Below are 12,051 nucleotides of genomic sequence, written 5' to 3' on the forward strand. Positions count from 1 at the left end.
CGGTATACTCAATTTTAATTAATTTAAATTTAAACAGCTACATGTGGCAAGTGGATACCATATTAGACAGGGCAGGGTTAGAGGAATCAAAAAGGTATATACTTCAAATCAATCAACAAGGTTTAATGAATAGCTATGAGTGCAAAGCACTAAATAACAAAGCATTGTTCTGTTTTTGTTTATTTTCTAAGCAAGAAACAAAGGAAAAGAAGCCAGAGCCCCTCATCTCAAGAAGCTTACAATACCAGATTTGGGGATGGGGGAGGATGGAGCCATATACACACAAACACAACTCTGAAAACAAACTGCAAGAGAAGAATCCCTAATTCACAGAATGCTGGTTTTACTTAGAGCAGCTTTCTTCAATAGGTGGACTATAGTAATAGTATTGGTACTACTGGAAATGTTCTGGAGACAAGATCTCCGGGGGAACTAAAACATTATTTTTCGAGTTATGAGACAAGTGAAAAATGAATGTTGGTTTACCAGGTCTGAGAATTCAGCAGGCAGAAGAAACCTAGTATGTGGTTCAAACTGCAAGGGAAGTAAGGTAGCCTGGAGACCCCATGGTTTTAAAATTTTTGTTCAGTGGTTCGTCTCACTATGGTTTCTTTTTCTTTCTCTCTTTCTTTTTTTTTCTTTTTTCTTTTTTTTTTTTGACAGAGTTTCACTCTTGTTGCCCAGGCTGAAGTGCAATGGTGTGATCTCGGCTTACCGCGACCTCCACCTCCTGAGTTCAAGAGATTCTCCTGTCTCAGCCTTCCGAGTAGCTAGGATTACAGGCATGCACCACCACGCCCGGCTAATTTTGTATTTTCAGTGGAGACAGGGTTTCTCCATGTTGGTCAGGCTGGTTTCAAACACCCAACCTCAGGTGATCTGCCCGTCTTGGCCTCCCAAAGTGCTGGGATTACAGGCGTGAGCCACCACGGCCAGCCTATGGTTTATTTTTCATGTGAGAATATGTTTTGCTTAACAAATAAATTTCTAGAGCATTATTTTTTTTTTTAAGAGAGAGACTTTTCATTTCTAGTCTTAAAAAGATCTGGGGTTCAGTTTTCCCTCTGGATGGAATTACCAGTTAGGAGACAGGTACCATGTAGGAGCAGAGCCAGCAGAGACTAGGAATGCTGAGACAGAGGGTTCTTGAGAAGTGTTTCCTCAGGAAGGACGCACAGCAGTTTTCACTCAAAGAAAGATGCATCAACACTTCCCGGGGATAGGGGTTAGCCTTGTAGGAAATTGAGGGTGGGATAGGGGTTAAATTCCCTGGAAGAAATTTCTCATGCCTGATGTTTTTTGTTTGTTTTAGCTCTTCCAGTTCTAAGACAAAACAGTAATATTAACATTAATAAGCTGGGCATGGTGGTGCACACCTATAATCCCAGCTACTTGGAATGCTGAGGTAGGAGGATCACTTGAACCAAGGAATACAAGGTCAGCCTAAGCAACATAGAAAGACCTTATATAAACAAAAATTAATAAGAACTTCCTTTTGTTGTTGTTGTTGTTGTTGTTTTTTGTTTGTTTGTTTAGACAGAGTCTCACTCACTCTGCCGCCCAGGCTGGAGTGCAGTGGCTCACTGCAACCTCCACCTCCCGGGTTCAAGTGATTCTCCTGCCTCAGCCTTCCGAGTAGCTGGGATTACAGGTGCATGCCACCACACCAGGCTAATTTTTGTATTTTTAGGAGAGACGGGGTTTCATCATGTTGCCCAGGCTAGTCTCGAACTCCTGGCTTCAAGTGATCTGCCTGCCTCGACCTCTCAAAGTGTTGGGATTATAGGAATGAGCCACCATGCCTGGCCAGGACTTCTATTTATATAATAATGTGGTTTACAAATTTTTTCCACAATTCATGATGATACAAAAAACACTCCTGCAAACATTAATTTTATTAGAGAAAGGACACAGGGCTCAACATTATTTTTGAAAGGATTAACTAAAAGTGTAGTCAAAAGATTTTTCATTCTTCAGTTTAAGCTCCATAGTTTCCTCCTAGAAAGTCACTGAAGTATGGAAAAAAGAAGACAGAAGGAGGAATTACTCTTTCATCCCATCGTTTTATCCCAGCCTCCATTTAATCTGTCAGAACTAATCTGTATCCTGGCCTGTAATTCCAGCCCAGTGTGCTGAGTCTCTTCCAGGAATGATCCTAAGGAAGAGTATTCTCACCATGCAACACTCTCTCTTGCATCCCTTTCACTAAATGCAGTAGATACTGAGAGTGAGAACTGATTTGTAAGTTGAGGGTGTTTTGTGGGAGGAGAAGACAGGCAGGTCCAAGAAATTTAAAATGAAGCCAGGAGTCACCTGATCATAAATCCTGGTTTCCTTGGGACAGGCCTAGTTTATTTTATTTATTTATTTATTTATTTTATTTTACTTATTTATTTATTTATTGAGACAAGGTCTTGCTCTGTCACCTAGGCTAGAGTGCAGTGGCGTGATCATGGTTCACTGCAGTTTCTACCTCCCGGGCTCAAGCGATGATCCTCCTGCCTCTGCCTCCCAGGTAGCTGGGACTATAGGCACATGCCACCATGCCTGGCTAATTTTTAATTTTTTGTAGAGACAGGGTCTCACTATGTTACCCAAGCTGGTCTCTAACTCCTGAGCTCAAGCAGTTCTCCCACCTCGGCCTCCCAAAGTGCTGGGATTATAGGTGTGAGCCACCATGACTGGCCAAACAGGCCTAGTTTAGACCTGTTGTTTCAGAGTAATTATTATAAGCATGCTTTACATTCTCAAATGTGTCCTGGTTTGAACAATAAATTATATAGTCACCCCAGCTATGGGTGACTTTGCAGCGTGTCTTTTTTTCAGACAGTTGCTCTAATTATTCCCCTTGGGTAATCAACAAGATTGATAAGGGCTCAGCCAGGTGCGAGGCACTGTGCTAGGCTCTTGGGAGCACTACAAAAGAGGTGGGATGCCTGTAATCCCAGCACTTTGGGAGGCTGAGGCGGGCGGATCACCTGAGGTCAGGAGTTCAAGACTAGCCTGGCCAACATGGCAAAACCCAGTCTCTACTAAAAATATAAAAATTAGACAGGCATGGTGGCAGGCGCCTATAATCCCAGCTACTCAGGAGGCTGAGGCAGGGAGAATTGCTTGAACCCGGGAGGCAGAGGTTGCAGTGAGCTGAGATTGTACCACTATACTCCAGCCTAGGCGACAGAGCAAGACTACATCTCAAAAAAAAAAAAAGTGGGAGAATTTGTAGTCCCATCATAGTATTTCTCAACTGGCAGTAAATTTTGGAGAAATAAACACCGGCCTCCCCCTCCCCGCTGCCCGGTTCCCACACACACGCCACTGCTTTCCTCATTCTCAAGGTTAAGGCTTCCAAGGAGGTGAATCTGCATTCCAGGAATGTTACTGAAATTAACTGCTTTAACCCTCATCACCTGTGCCCCCTATGGTTCTGTATGGGGTCTCAGGCAGTGACTTGTACAGAGCTGGCTGTTTAAAAATCATCTGGGGAACTTGTTAAAAATAGAGATTCATGGGCCCACTGCCTGAGATTCTGATTCAGCACATCTGAGAATCTATTAAAAAAAAAATAAAAAGCAAAGCTCTCCAGGTGGCTTGGGCATGCAAGCCAGATTTGGACCCACTGGTGAGTCATCATCCTTTGACCAAGGCCTGAAGTGATCCACTGTTGCTATGGAAACCACTGATGTACACCTCAGCTAGATTGGATTTTTGGATTTTACTTCTTCTTTTATTTTTTTTTTAAGTACACATCTGTTTCAAAAATAGAGGGCATTATTTTTAGAAGAGAATATGTGTTTTCTCTCTCCAGATATTTATATTTAGAGAGAAAAAGCAAAGCCCCACAAGGCAGAAAATTTTCTCATCTGAAACCAAATTCAACAGAAAGCAGATGTCCCTCACTACGTTAGTCCAGCTGGAAAGAACTAATGAGCAGTTATTTCCTGAGGCAACTTTCAGACTGTCTGGCGCTTCTTTTAGGTTTCAGCTGCTATAAGGTGCCTGGATGGAGAAGACGGGCTCACGGGCTTCCCGGGTGGTTAGGGGACAGGCAGTGACTGGCCAGGATGATAGGAAGACTCTGGAGGCTCCATCTTGAGGCAGACCCAGAAAAGGATGGCCTGCAGAAGTTATTGTCAGAATGAAATCTACATGCACGCAGCTGTGCCACCAGGTGACGCACACTGAACCACCCTGACAGATATAGCACGTTTATACTCCAGGAATGAATGGAGGAAAGAGCAGCAGCCTGTTTTCCTCAGGCTTCAGAGGCAGAACAGATGGGGTAGAGAGAGGCTGAGACAGGGTTTCCGTAGCTTTACGTTGCCAGGTTGGCCTGATGAATTCAGAATTTAGCAATTCTGAGTTCTCTTTTGTTTCAGCTTAAAGATTAAAGCATAAAATGGTTGCATCTCAAATAGAAGGTTCTTGGAATTTATTGCTGTTCATAAATCCTGATTGATCTTGGGAAACCAAAGCAGAATTTCCCTTCCAAAGATACTCACTGGGATCCCTCATTTTGCCAGCAGCTATTATAGTAAAGGGGCAGAGACCCCCTGGACCCCCAACCCCGAGATCTGCCACATGGAGTGGCGGGATACCTAGCTACAATTCTGTGTTATAGATGGAGCTGGTCTTGTCTGAAAGAGGAATCATTCATTTTTGGTTCCCCTTCCCTCTTGTCCAGGCTTTGTCTGCAGAATTCCTTGGCTTCCTGAAAGGTACTTTTCAAGCAACTACCCGGCCCAGTGTGCTGAGTCTCTTCCAGAAATGATCCTAATGTGCTTCTCTTTGGTTCAGGGCAAGGAAAACCCAGCTCAGTCTCTTGAAACTGGCTCTCAGCACCCTCCATCCTGCCATCCGCACAATGTTCATAGAGCACCAAGATCTGTACTAATCATCTTCTTGCAAACCTTTTAAGCCCCATCGCCTCCTTCCCCAAAACCCTCACATCACCACAAGGGACAAACTTCCTTATGCTAATACAACTCACCTCCCAACCACTGTGTCTTTCCAATCATCAGCATAACTGCCTTCCCTCCACCACCAGCCGAATGTAGGTCCCTACTCCACACATGGTTGTTGGGGAAGGGCTTGTCCCTGGGGAACACTAGGATGATCTGCTGATTTCACATGAGAGGAAATATCTGACCAATTTAACTTTTCAGATCTACGTAAATAATGACAAATTGACGACAACAAGAGGGTGATATGAGAAGATGCTAGGAAGAAACACAGTTTTGAAAAGGGCTGGAGAGAATAGAGAAAGAAGTAATGCTCACACCACAACATCCCACAGACTGGTGTTTATTTCAAACCTCCTCCACTTCAGTTGTTATGGCTTGGCACATTACTGACCTCCATGTCTGGACCACTCAACTTATTCTAGGACCTGGGTTCCTTCCCCTGGATCTGCTGGGCCACATGATCGTGAGTGAGTCCACCCGCTTGCTCAGGTAGTCTCTCCACCTGTCCACTGCATTTAGGCGACTCTCCCAGTGCACCCTAGGAAACTGCAGAGAAGCACTCTCTCCCTCTCTCCCCTGCCCTCTTCTGTTTCTCCCAGGCCTAAGTGCCAAGTAAGTTAGAAATTCTATTATTTTCTTGTTTCCAGTGGGGTTGGATAAGTTAGAAATTCTTAACCTGGGACGCACAGATGAGCTTCAGGGGCTCTGGGAACCTCTTGATATTGCAAGTATGTGGGCATGTGTGTTGGGGGGTGAGAATTTTCTGGGGCAAGATTCAGCATTTTTTTCCATCAGATTTTCAAAAGGACCCCTAAAAGATGAAAAACCACTGATTGGTCCTTAGCCTGTTCTGTGTGGTCGCACAGGTGATGAGCAGGGCACACTAGAGGGACTGAGACTCATGTAGTTGTGGTACTTCCAGCACAGTACCTTGGAAGCAGCCATCACAGCCGCTGTGGCGGCCACGTTCAAGCCCCGCTTCCCGAAGTGCACAAGGGCATCGTAACTTCGGTCTTTTGCTTGGACCAGACAATCATCGATTTCCTGTCAAAGGAAAAACAGAGGCACACTGAGCTGGAAGGTTCAAACACATCTCTGTTTTCTTTCCTTTCCTCTGAGCATTGGGCTTGGCAGCTTGCCCAATCCTTGTTCTTGCTGGGCCTGAAAAGCTGTAGGCACTTTGAAGGTGTGCGTGCAGAGGGGAGAGCAGAGATACAGGAGAGTAGAAAAGGGAACTCTGAAAACACTGCAACTTACGGATCCAGCGATGCCCTGAGATTGTTTCTAAAGCCCTCTGACCTTCCAGGAGGCTCCAGGAGGTTCTGGATATGGACAGCCTTGCCTGCCATTCTACACACAGCCACTCACCAGACACTGAAAGCACCCAGGGTGGAGAGAGTGCCCAGAACCGAGCTTCTAGCCTCAGACCTGCCACCAACTGACTGCCAGACCTTGGCAAGCCTCTCTACACACAGTTTTAGTCTTCTGAAAAACGAGGATAATGATAATACCCAACTTGCGGAGCATGGTGAGGATTAAATGAGGTAATTCCAGTAAAACATCTAACACAGTGGCTAGTTTCAATAAATGATAACCATGTCATCTTCCTTATCTTGACAGGGTTGAGCCCTTGCAGTTCTAAAATTCTGTTATTCTATAGTTATTTAATTCTAAAATCAAATATCACCCCATTTGTATATCGATGGGAGGGATTACAAAGCTGAAAGAAATGAGTATTACTGGATAAGGGAGATTGTTTTACACATATTCAAATAAAATCAGAAATTAGAAGTCATCCAGTGTCATGCAACAAGGTAAAGGTGAGATGGAAAACAGGATTGAGGTCTTCTTCAGGGACCAAAGCCAAGTACAATATTGGTTTAGTTCAAATTTGGATTAACTTTGGTGTATTATTTTTGTTTGTTTGGGAGTGTTTTGTTGTTGTCATTGTTTTAAGAAAATGGCTGTTTGTCGGCCGGGTGCAGTGGCTCACGCCTGTAATCCCAGCACTTTGGGAGGCCAAGGTGGGCGTATCACCTGAGGTCAAGAGTTCGAGACCAGCCTGGCCAACATGGTAAAACCCCATCTCCTCTAAAAATACAAAATGAGTCAGGCATGGTGGCACGTGCCTATAGTCCCAGCTACCTGGGAGGCTGAGGCAGGAGAATTGCTGGAGCCCAGGAGGCAGAGGTTGCAGTGAGCCGAGATCGTGCCACTGCACTCCAGCCTGGGCAACAGAGCAAGATTCCGCGCCCCCCACCCCCCAAAAAAAGGCTGTTTTTCATGACAGCTGCTCATTTCAGAGTTCGGTAAGACAATGACATTTGGCCTTAGTCAAGTTCTGTGCATTAGTGTATTTCCATTGCTTTGAGGTGTGCAAGTGGGTCAGCAACCTCCTGCTGGATTCCCTGTGGAAGGCTTCCCCAGGAAGTCATAGCAGCAGGCCCTCTAACTGTGACCTGCCTGTCCCCCACCACCACCCCTTTGGAAGTGATTCTTGGCAACTCTTAAGAGTCAGTCACCTTCACTTCAATGGAAGTTACATTGGCAGCTTCAGGGGAAGCCCAGCATTTGGGGAAAGGGAAGTAAGACGAGTAGGGATTTGATAACCAGGTCAAGACAGGGATCCGTTCCTCAAAATCCACCCTTCTGAGACAGGAAGTGCTGCGGTCCGAGTTCCTAAAGAGATTTTCCGAAACTTGTACAGTAGCCTGCTCATCCAACGGATATGTTTCCCAAAGCCTTCCCCTTTCTAGTCCAAGGAATTCAACTTTCAGAAACAATAGACATTAATCTGTCAAGCCACCTATAATGCTCCTATTTTAGTTAAGAAACCCCACTACACAATCAGCTTAGTAAGTAATACAGTTAACGAATGATACAATGTTGGAATCGTTTGACTTAATAATCCTGCTCTTGGGAATTAATTCTAAGACAATTAAAGGAAGCAACTAAACTCCAGGAATGGTAGTGCTCACTGCAGAACTATCTATATCAGGAAAAGGTAGAGATAATCTAAATATCTAGCAGTAAGGGAACATCATCATGGGTATTACGAAGACCAAGTAGAAATGGATTTGTGTGCAAACACATTTAAAATCTCAGGATACAAACATTTTATTTAAGTTTTTAAATCATTTTTTTAAAAAAATTCTACATAAAATTTTAATCTTTCTTTCTTTTTTTAAGAGATGGGGACTCTCTAGGTTGCCCAGGCTGGCTTTGAACTTCTGGGCTCAAGTGATTCTCCCACCTTATACCCCTGAGTAGCTGGAATTACAGGCATGCACCACCACACCTGGCTTCCAGGTAAGATTTAAAATAGTCTATGTAAAAATCATGTCTATAAAAGGACAGGGGCTAAGCATGACAAAAGGAAGGAAATTCACTTTGCGTGGTTAAATTGAGTGAATTTTTTCTTTCTTTTGTTTCAATTTATGGAAATGTTTTCCAGTAAATAATGACAAATAACATCTTTTAGAGAACTTCACCACTATTTCTAAACACGTCTCAGAAATACACTTAAAAAAAACGATTAGGAGGAATGACTTGCTGGAGGCAAATGAGAGCCAAATGAGAAGTCTCCTGCAATAAGATCATCCCTTTTTATTTATTACTTATTTTCTCACTTGCTAGAAAGAATGAAAGACATGGCAGCATATATTACCTTTTCTTTTGAAGATAGCGTGGGATGTACAAACTTCCTGTACAGGAGGCTGGAGCCTTTTGTGTAGGGAGACAGCAGCCAGGCTACAAATGCTATTTTTAGTTCATAATAGAATGGAAACCTGGAGAGAGAGATGAAAACACAAGTTCTGTTAGGTTCTCAGCAACACTGCCCTTTTGAAGGATGAGACCCGGTGGGTGGCAAGGACGCCTCTCCTGCTTGCATGTGGCTGCAAGTTTCCCAGATTCCTCTGTCCTCCACCTATGAAGGTGAGGGCACACACTTGCACACACACAGTACAACCCCAACGCCTCTCTTTGAAAACCAGTTCGTGTTTTCTTTTGTTGCCAAAGCAAACCAGGAACACAGGTTCTCTCCAGCAATCACCCCCGTGGCCCTGCCTGGCACAGGCTGGAGCTTCCTGCTGGGCTGTGCTCATTTAGATTGGAGCTAGGGTTCTGGCCACAGCCTACAGGCTCAGAGGATCTCTTCTACGCTGTACACCCAGTCACTCACTCTTCACTCACATCCAAGAAGGGACAAACACCAGGGGGAATTACAGCAGGGAAGAGTTGACAAAAAAATCTCTAGACTGAGAATGAAAGCCTCTCTTTCTTGGCTGCCTTCTTGGCCCAAACAGAGGCAGGGACAAGAGCCCAGCTCTTGGCAGGAAGGAGAATGCTACTCACCCTACTCAAGTCAATGGCAGGCAAACAGATTTTGATCTTCTTAGTGCCAAGAAACAGAAGAGTCCACGGTGCAGATAGCACATAATTCTGGAGTTTGCAGTCCTGCATACCCTCAAGCCTGTTCATTTATTTGTCCCCCCACAGGCAGGCACCCAGTCCCTGTACGTGCCAGCTTGTACTGAGCACCAGGTATAAGGAGGTACAGGGAGGCAACGGTGAGCAAAGAAGACCTGATTCCTGCCCTCATGGAGCTTCTGGTCCACTGGGAACACAGACAAGATTCTGGCATCCTTGGAACTAAGGGTCCAGTCAGGGAAACAGAGATTTATAAAATAATCACAAATAATATAGAACAGAAACCTGAGACAAGTGCCATAGTGCTAGCCCACGTGGTGCCTTTGAATGTATTAGAAGAAAACTGGCCTCTTCAACTGGAAGCAGTTCTGTGGCCACATACCACAGAGCTTGGTCTGAATTTCAGCCCCATTCACCTGCTTGGCCAGATATCTTGTGCTGTGAACAACCCGAGCAACCATATTTGGCAGTCCAGAGGTGTAGTAACCATGTGTTTATGGTTTATTTTTGATTTTCTGTATTCTGATGTACTTTGGGGCCTTGCTTACTCTGGAGGAACTGCCCCTCCCACAAGGTGAGCCAATTGCTAGAGATAGTAAAGAACTCACTGGCCGGGCGCGGTGGCTCATGCCTGTAATCCCAGCACTTTGGGAGGAAGAGGTGGGTGGATCACAAGGTCAGGGGTTCGAGACCAGCCTGACCAATATGGTGAAACTCCGTCTCTACTAAAAAATACAAAAATTAGCTGGGCATGGTGGCGGGCACCTGTAATCCCAGCTACTCAGGGGGCTGAGGCAGGAGAATTGCTCGAACCCAGGAGTTGGAGGTTGCAGTGAGCCGAGATCGCGCCACTGCACTCTAGCCTGGGCGACAGAGCAAGATTCCATCTCAAAAAAAAAAAAAAAAAAAGAACTTCACCTGCAACACACCTTTCATATGCAAACCAACCAATCCATGGGCCCAGGCTCCAGCCACTGCCTCTGATGGACTCTCACATTCCAGGCCACCATCCACCTGCCCCAATCATCCCAGGGCCAGGGCTAGACAACCAGAGATAGCCCCATATACCCCAGAGCCTACTGAGATTATTCAAACCAGCCAAGCCCAAGCCTGCCCACCCTGCTTTGCCCTTTCCTTCCTTTAATGTGGAACATGTTAAAGGCCCTCACCCCAGTTTCTCCCTCTTCTCCTGACGGACCCTGAGTGGCCCCCAACATGGCTCTGCATGGTGTGCTGTGCCTCTGTTTCTAGGAATCTGTGAGCAAAGAAACTTCTCCCTTCGTGACAATTATTTCCATGTCTATGTCTTACCCACACTCGCTTAAAACAAATCCCAGGTATCCTTAAAACCTGATGCTATGAGATGAGACAGTCACCTGTCCTAGTCTTAGAGATCAGAAAGTCCTTTCCAGGCATCCTCCCCAGATAAACGATCAGAAAATCAAAAACAGCAAGTCACTGGAGGGCCCTTAACTCTCACACAGACACCCCTATCCCCCAGTCAGTAGCCTTACCCACGCCTCCTTTCCTCACCAAGGTCTCCTGGCCCCCTGCCTTCTGCCTCTGGTGGGTGCTTCCTGAATATTTCCTCAGCAATTAGTGGGCACTTTCATGGCAAGATTGTTTAATGTTTCACAGCCAGAAAAGAGAGAGGCTGAAGAACAGAGGTGTGATTCTCCCATATTTGAATACTCTGGTGATTAATAACGGAGGAACTTCTGTTTTGAAAACAAGTATTCACCAGCCCCAAGGGGAAAGGAAATGAATCCAGCAAGCTCAGACACCAACACAAGACACATAAATAATCTGTCGCACTGCAGCTCTTTTATTTATTACATAAAAGATGTCTTTTAAAAAAAATAGGTCATGCATGCATATAGTTAAAAAAAATTCTAAAAGTCCAAAGGAGTATACAACGAAGAGTCTCCTTCCCCCGCCTAACCCCTAGTCCCTTTTCTAAAAGCAAAAACATTATCAGTTACTTGCATATCCTTCCAGAGGTAGACTAGGGCGAGGGATACATCATGCAGGTATATATGACTCCCTGAGTTGCCCCCAACACACAGAAGCATTCTATACACCCGTTACTACATCTTGCTTCTCCCAGCACATACATACAATCAACAGTATGCCTTGGGGACTATCTCATACCACCACAGGGATAGCTACCTCACTCATCTTTTTTTTTTTTTTTTTTGAGACAGAGTTTCACTCTGCTGCGCAGGCTGCAAATGCAGTGGCACGGTCTCAGCTCACTGCAACCTCCACCTTCTGGGTTCAAGCAATTCTCCTGCCTTGGCCTCCCAAGTAGCTGGGATTACAGGCGTGCACCACAATGCCCAGCTAATTTTTGTATTTTTAGTAGAGACGGGGGTTTCACCATGTTGGCCAGGCTGGTCTTGAACTCCTGACCTCAGGTGATCCGCCCGCCTGGGATTACAAGCATGAGCCACCGCGCCCGGCCTATCTCACTCATCTTAATGGCTGCATACGAGTGTATGAGCACCGGCTCAGGCCCCCATGAATGGATATTTACGATGGTTATGATCTTTACCTACTTCAGCCGAGCTACAAGGGAACCTCTTTGTGAACGGTGCTGAGGGGAGTAACTATCAGCGCTTCAGTGCTAGGGTTCCTGAGGCACTCTGGCTCCTCC

At 45.3% G+C, this 12,051-nt stretch overlaps 1 protein-coding gene across 16 annotated transcripts in view, besides 1 other annotated feature; it reads right to left on the minus strand.

Annotated features, from left to right (window-relative positions):
* REEP1 (receptor accessory protein 1) overlaps window positions 1-12,051 on the minus strand; it is a 124,091-nt gene that overhangs the window by 32,070 nt on the left and 79,970 nt on the right. For 15 of the 16 annotated variants that reach the window (NM_001164730.2, NM_001164731.2, NM_001371280.1 and 12 more), the window contains 2 exons: window positions 8,632-8,752; window positions 5,895-6,008 (listed from right to left, as the gene is read on the minus strand). The exons of the other annotated variant lie outside the window; for it this stretch is intronic. In NM_001164730.2, coding sequence (NP_001158202.1) covers window positions 5,895-6,008; window positions 8,632-8,752 — 235 coding nt within the window. The remainder of the gene's footprint in view (window positions 1-5,894; window positions 6,009-8,631; window positions 8,753-12,051) is intronic. 16 annotated transcript variants of the gene reach the window in all.
* Window positions 3,897-3,946: a silencer, noted in NCBI's record as "silent region_11711". NCBI's record gives its function as "represses an Ori minimal core promoter by ATAC-STARR-seq in GM12878 lymphoblastoid cells {active_cell/tissue: GM12878}" and the evidence as "EXISTENCE:reporter gene assay evidence [ECO:0000049][PMID:35858748]".

This window comes from Homo sapiens, chromosome 2, assembly GCF_000001405.40.
Source record: "Homo sapiens chromosome 2, GRCh38.p14 Primary Assembly".
NCBI classification, from domain to species: domain Eukaryota; kingdom Metazoa; phylum Chordata; class Mammalia; order Primates; family Hominidae; genus Homo; species Homo sapiens.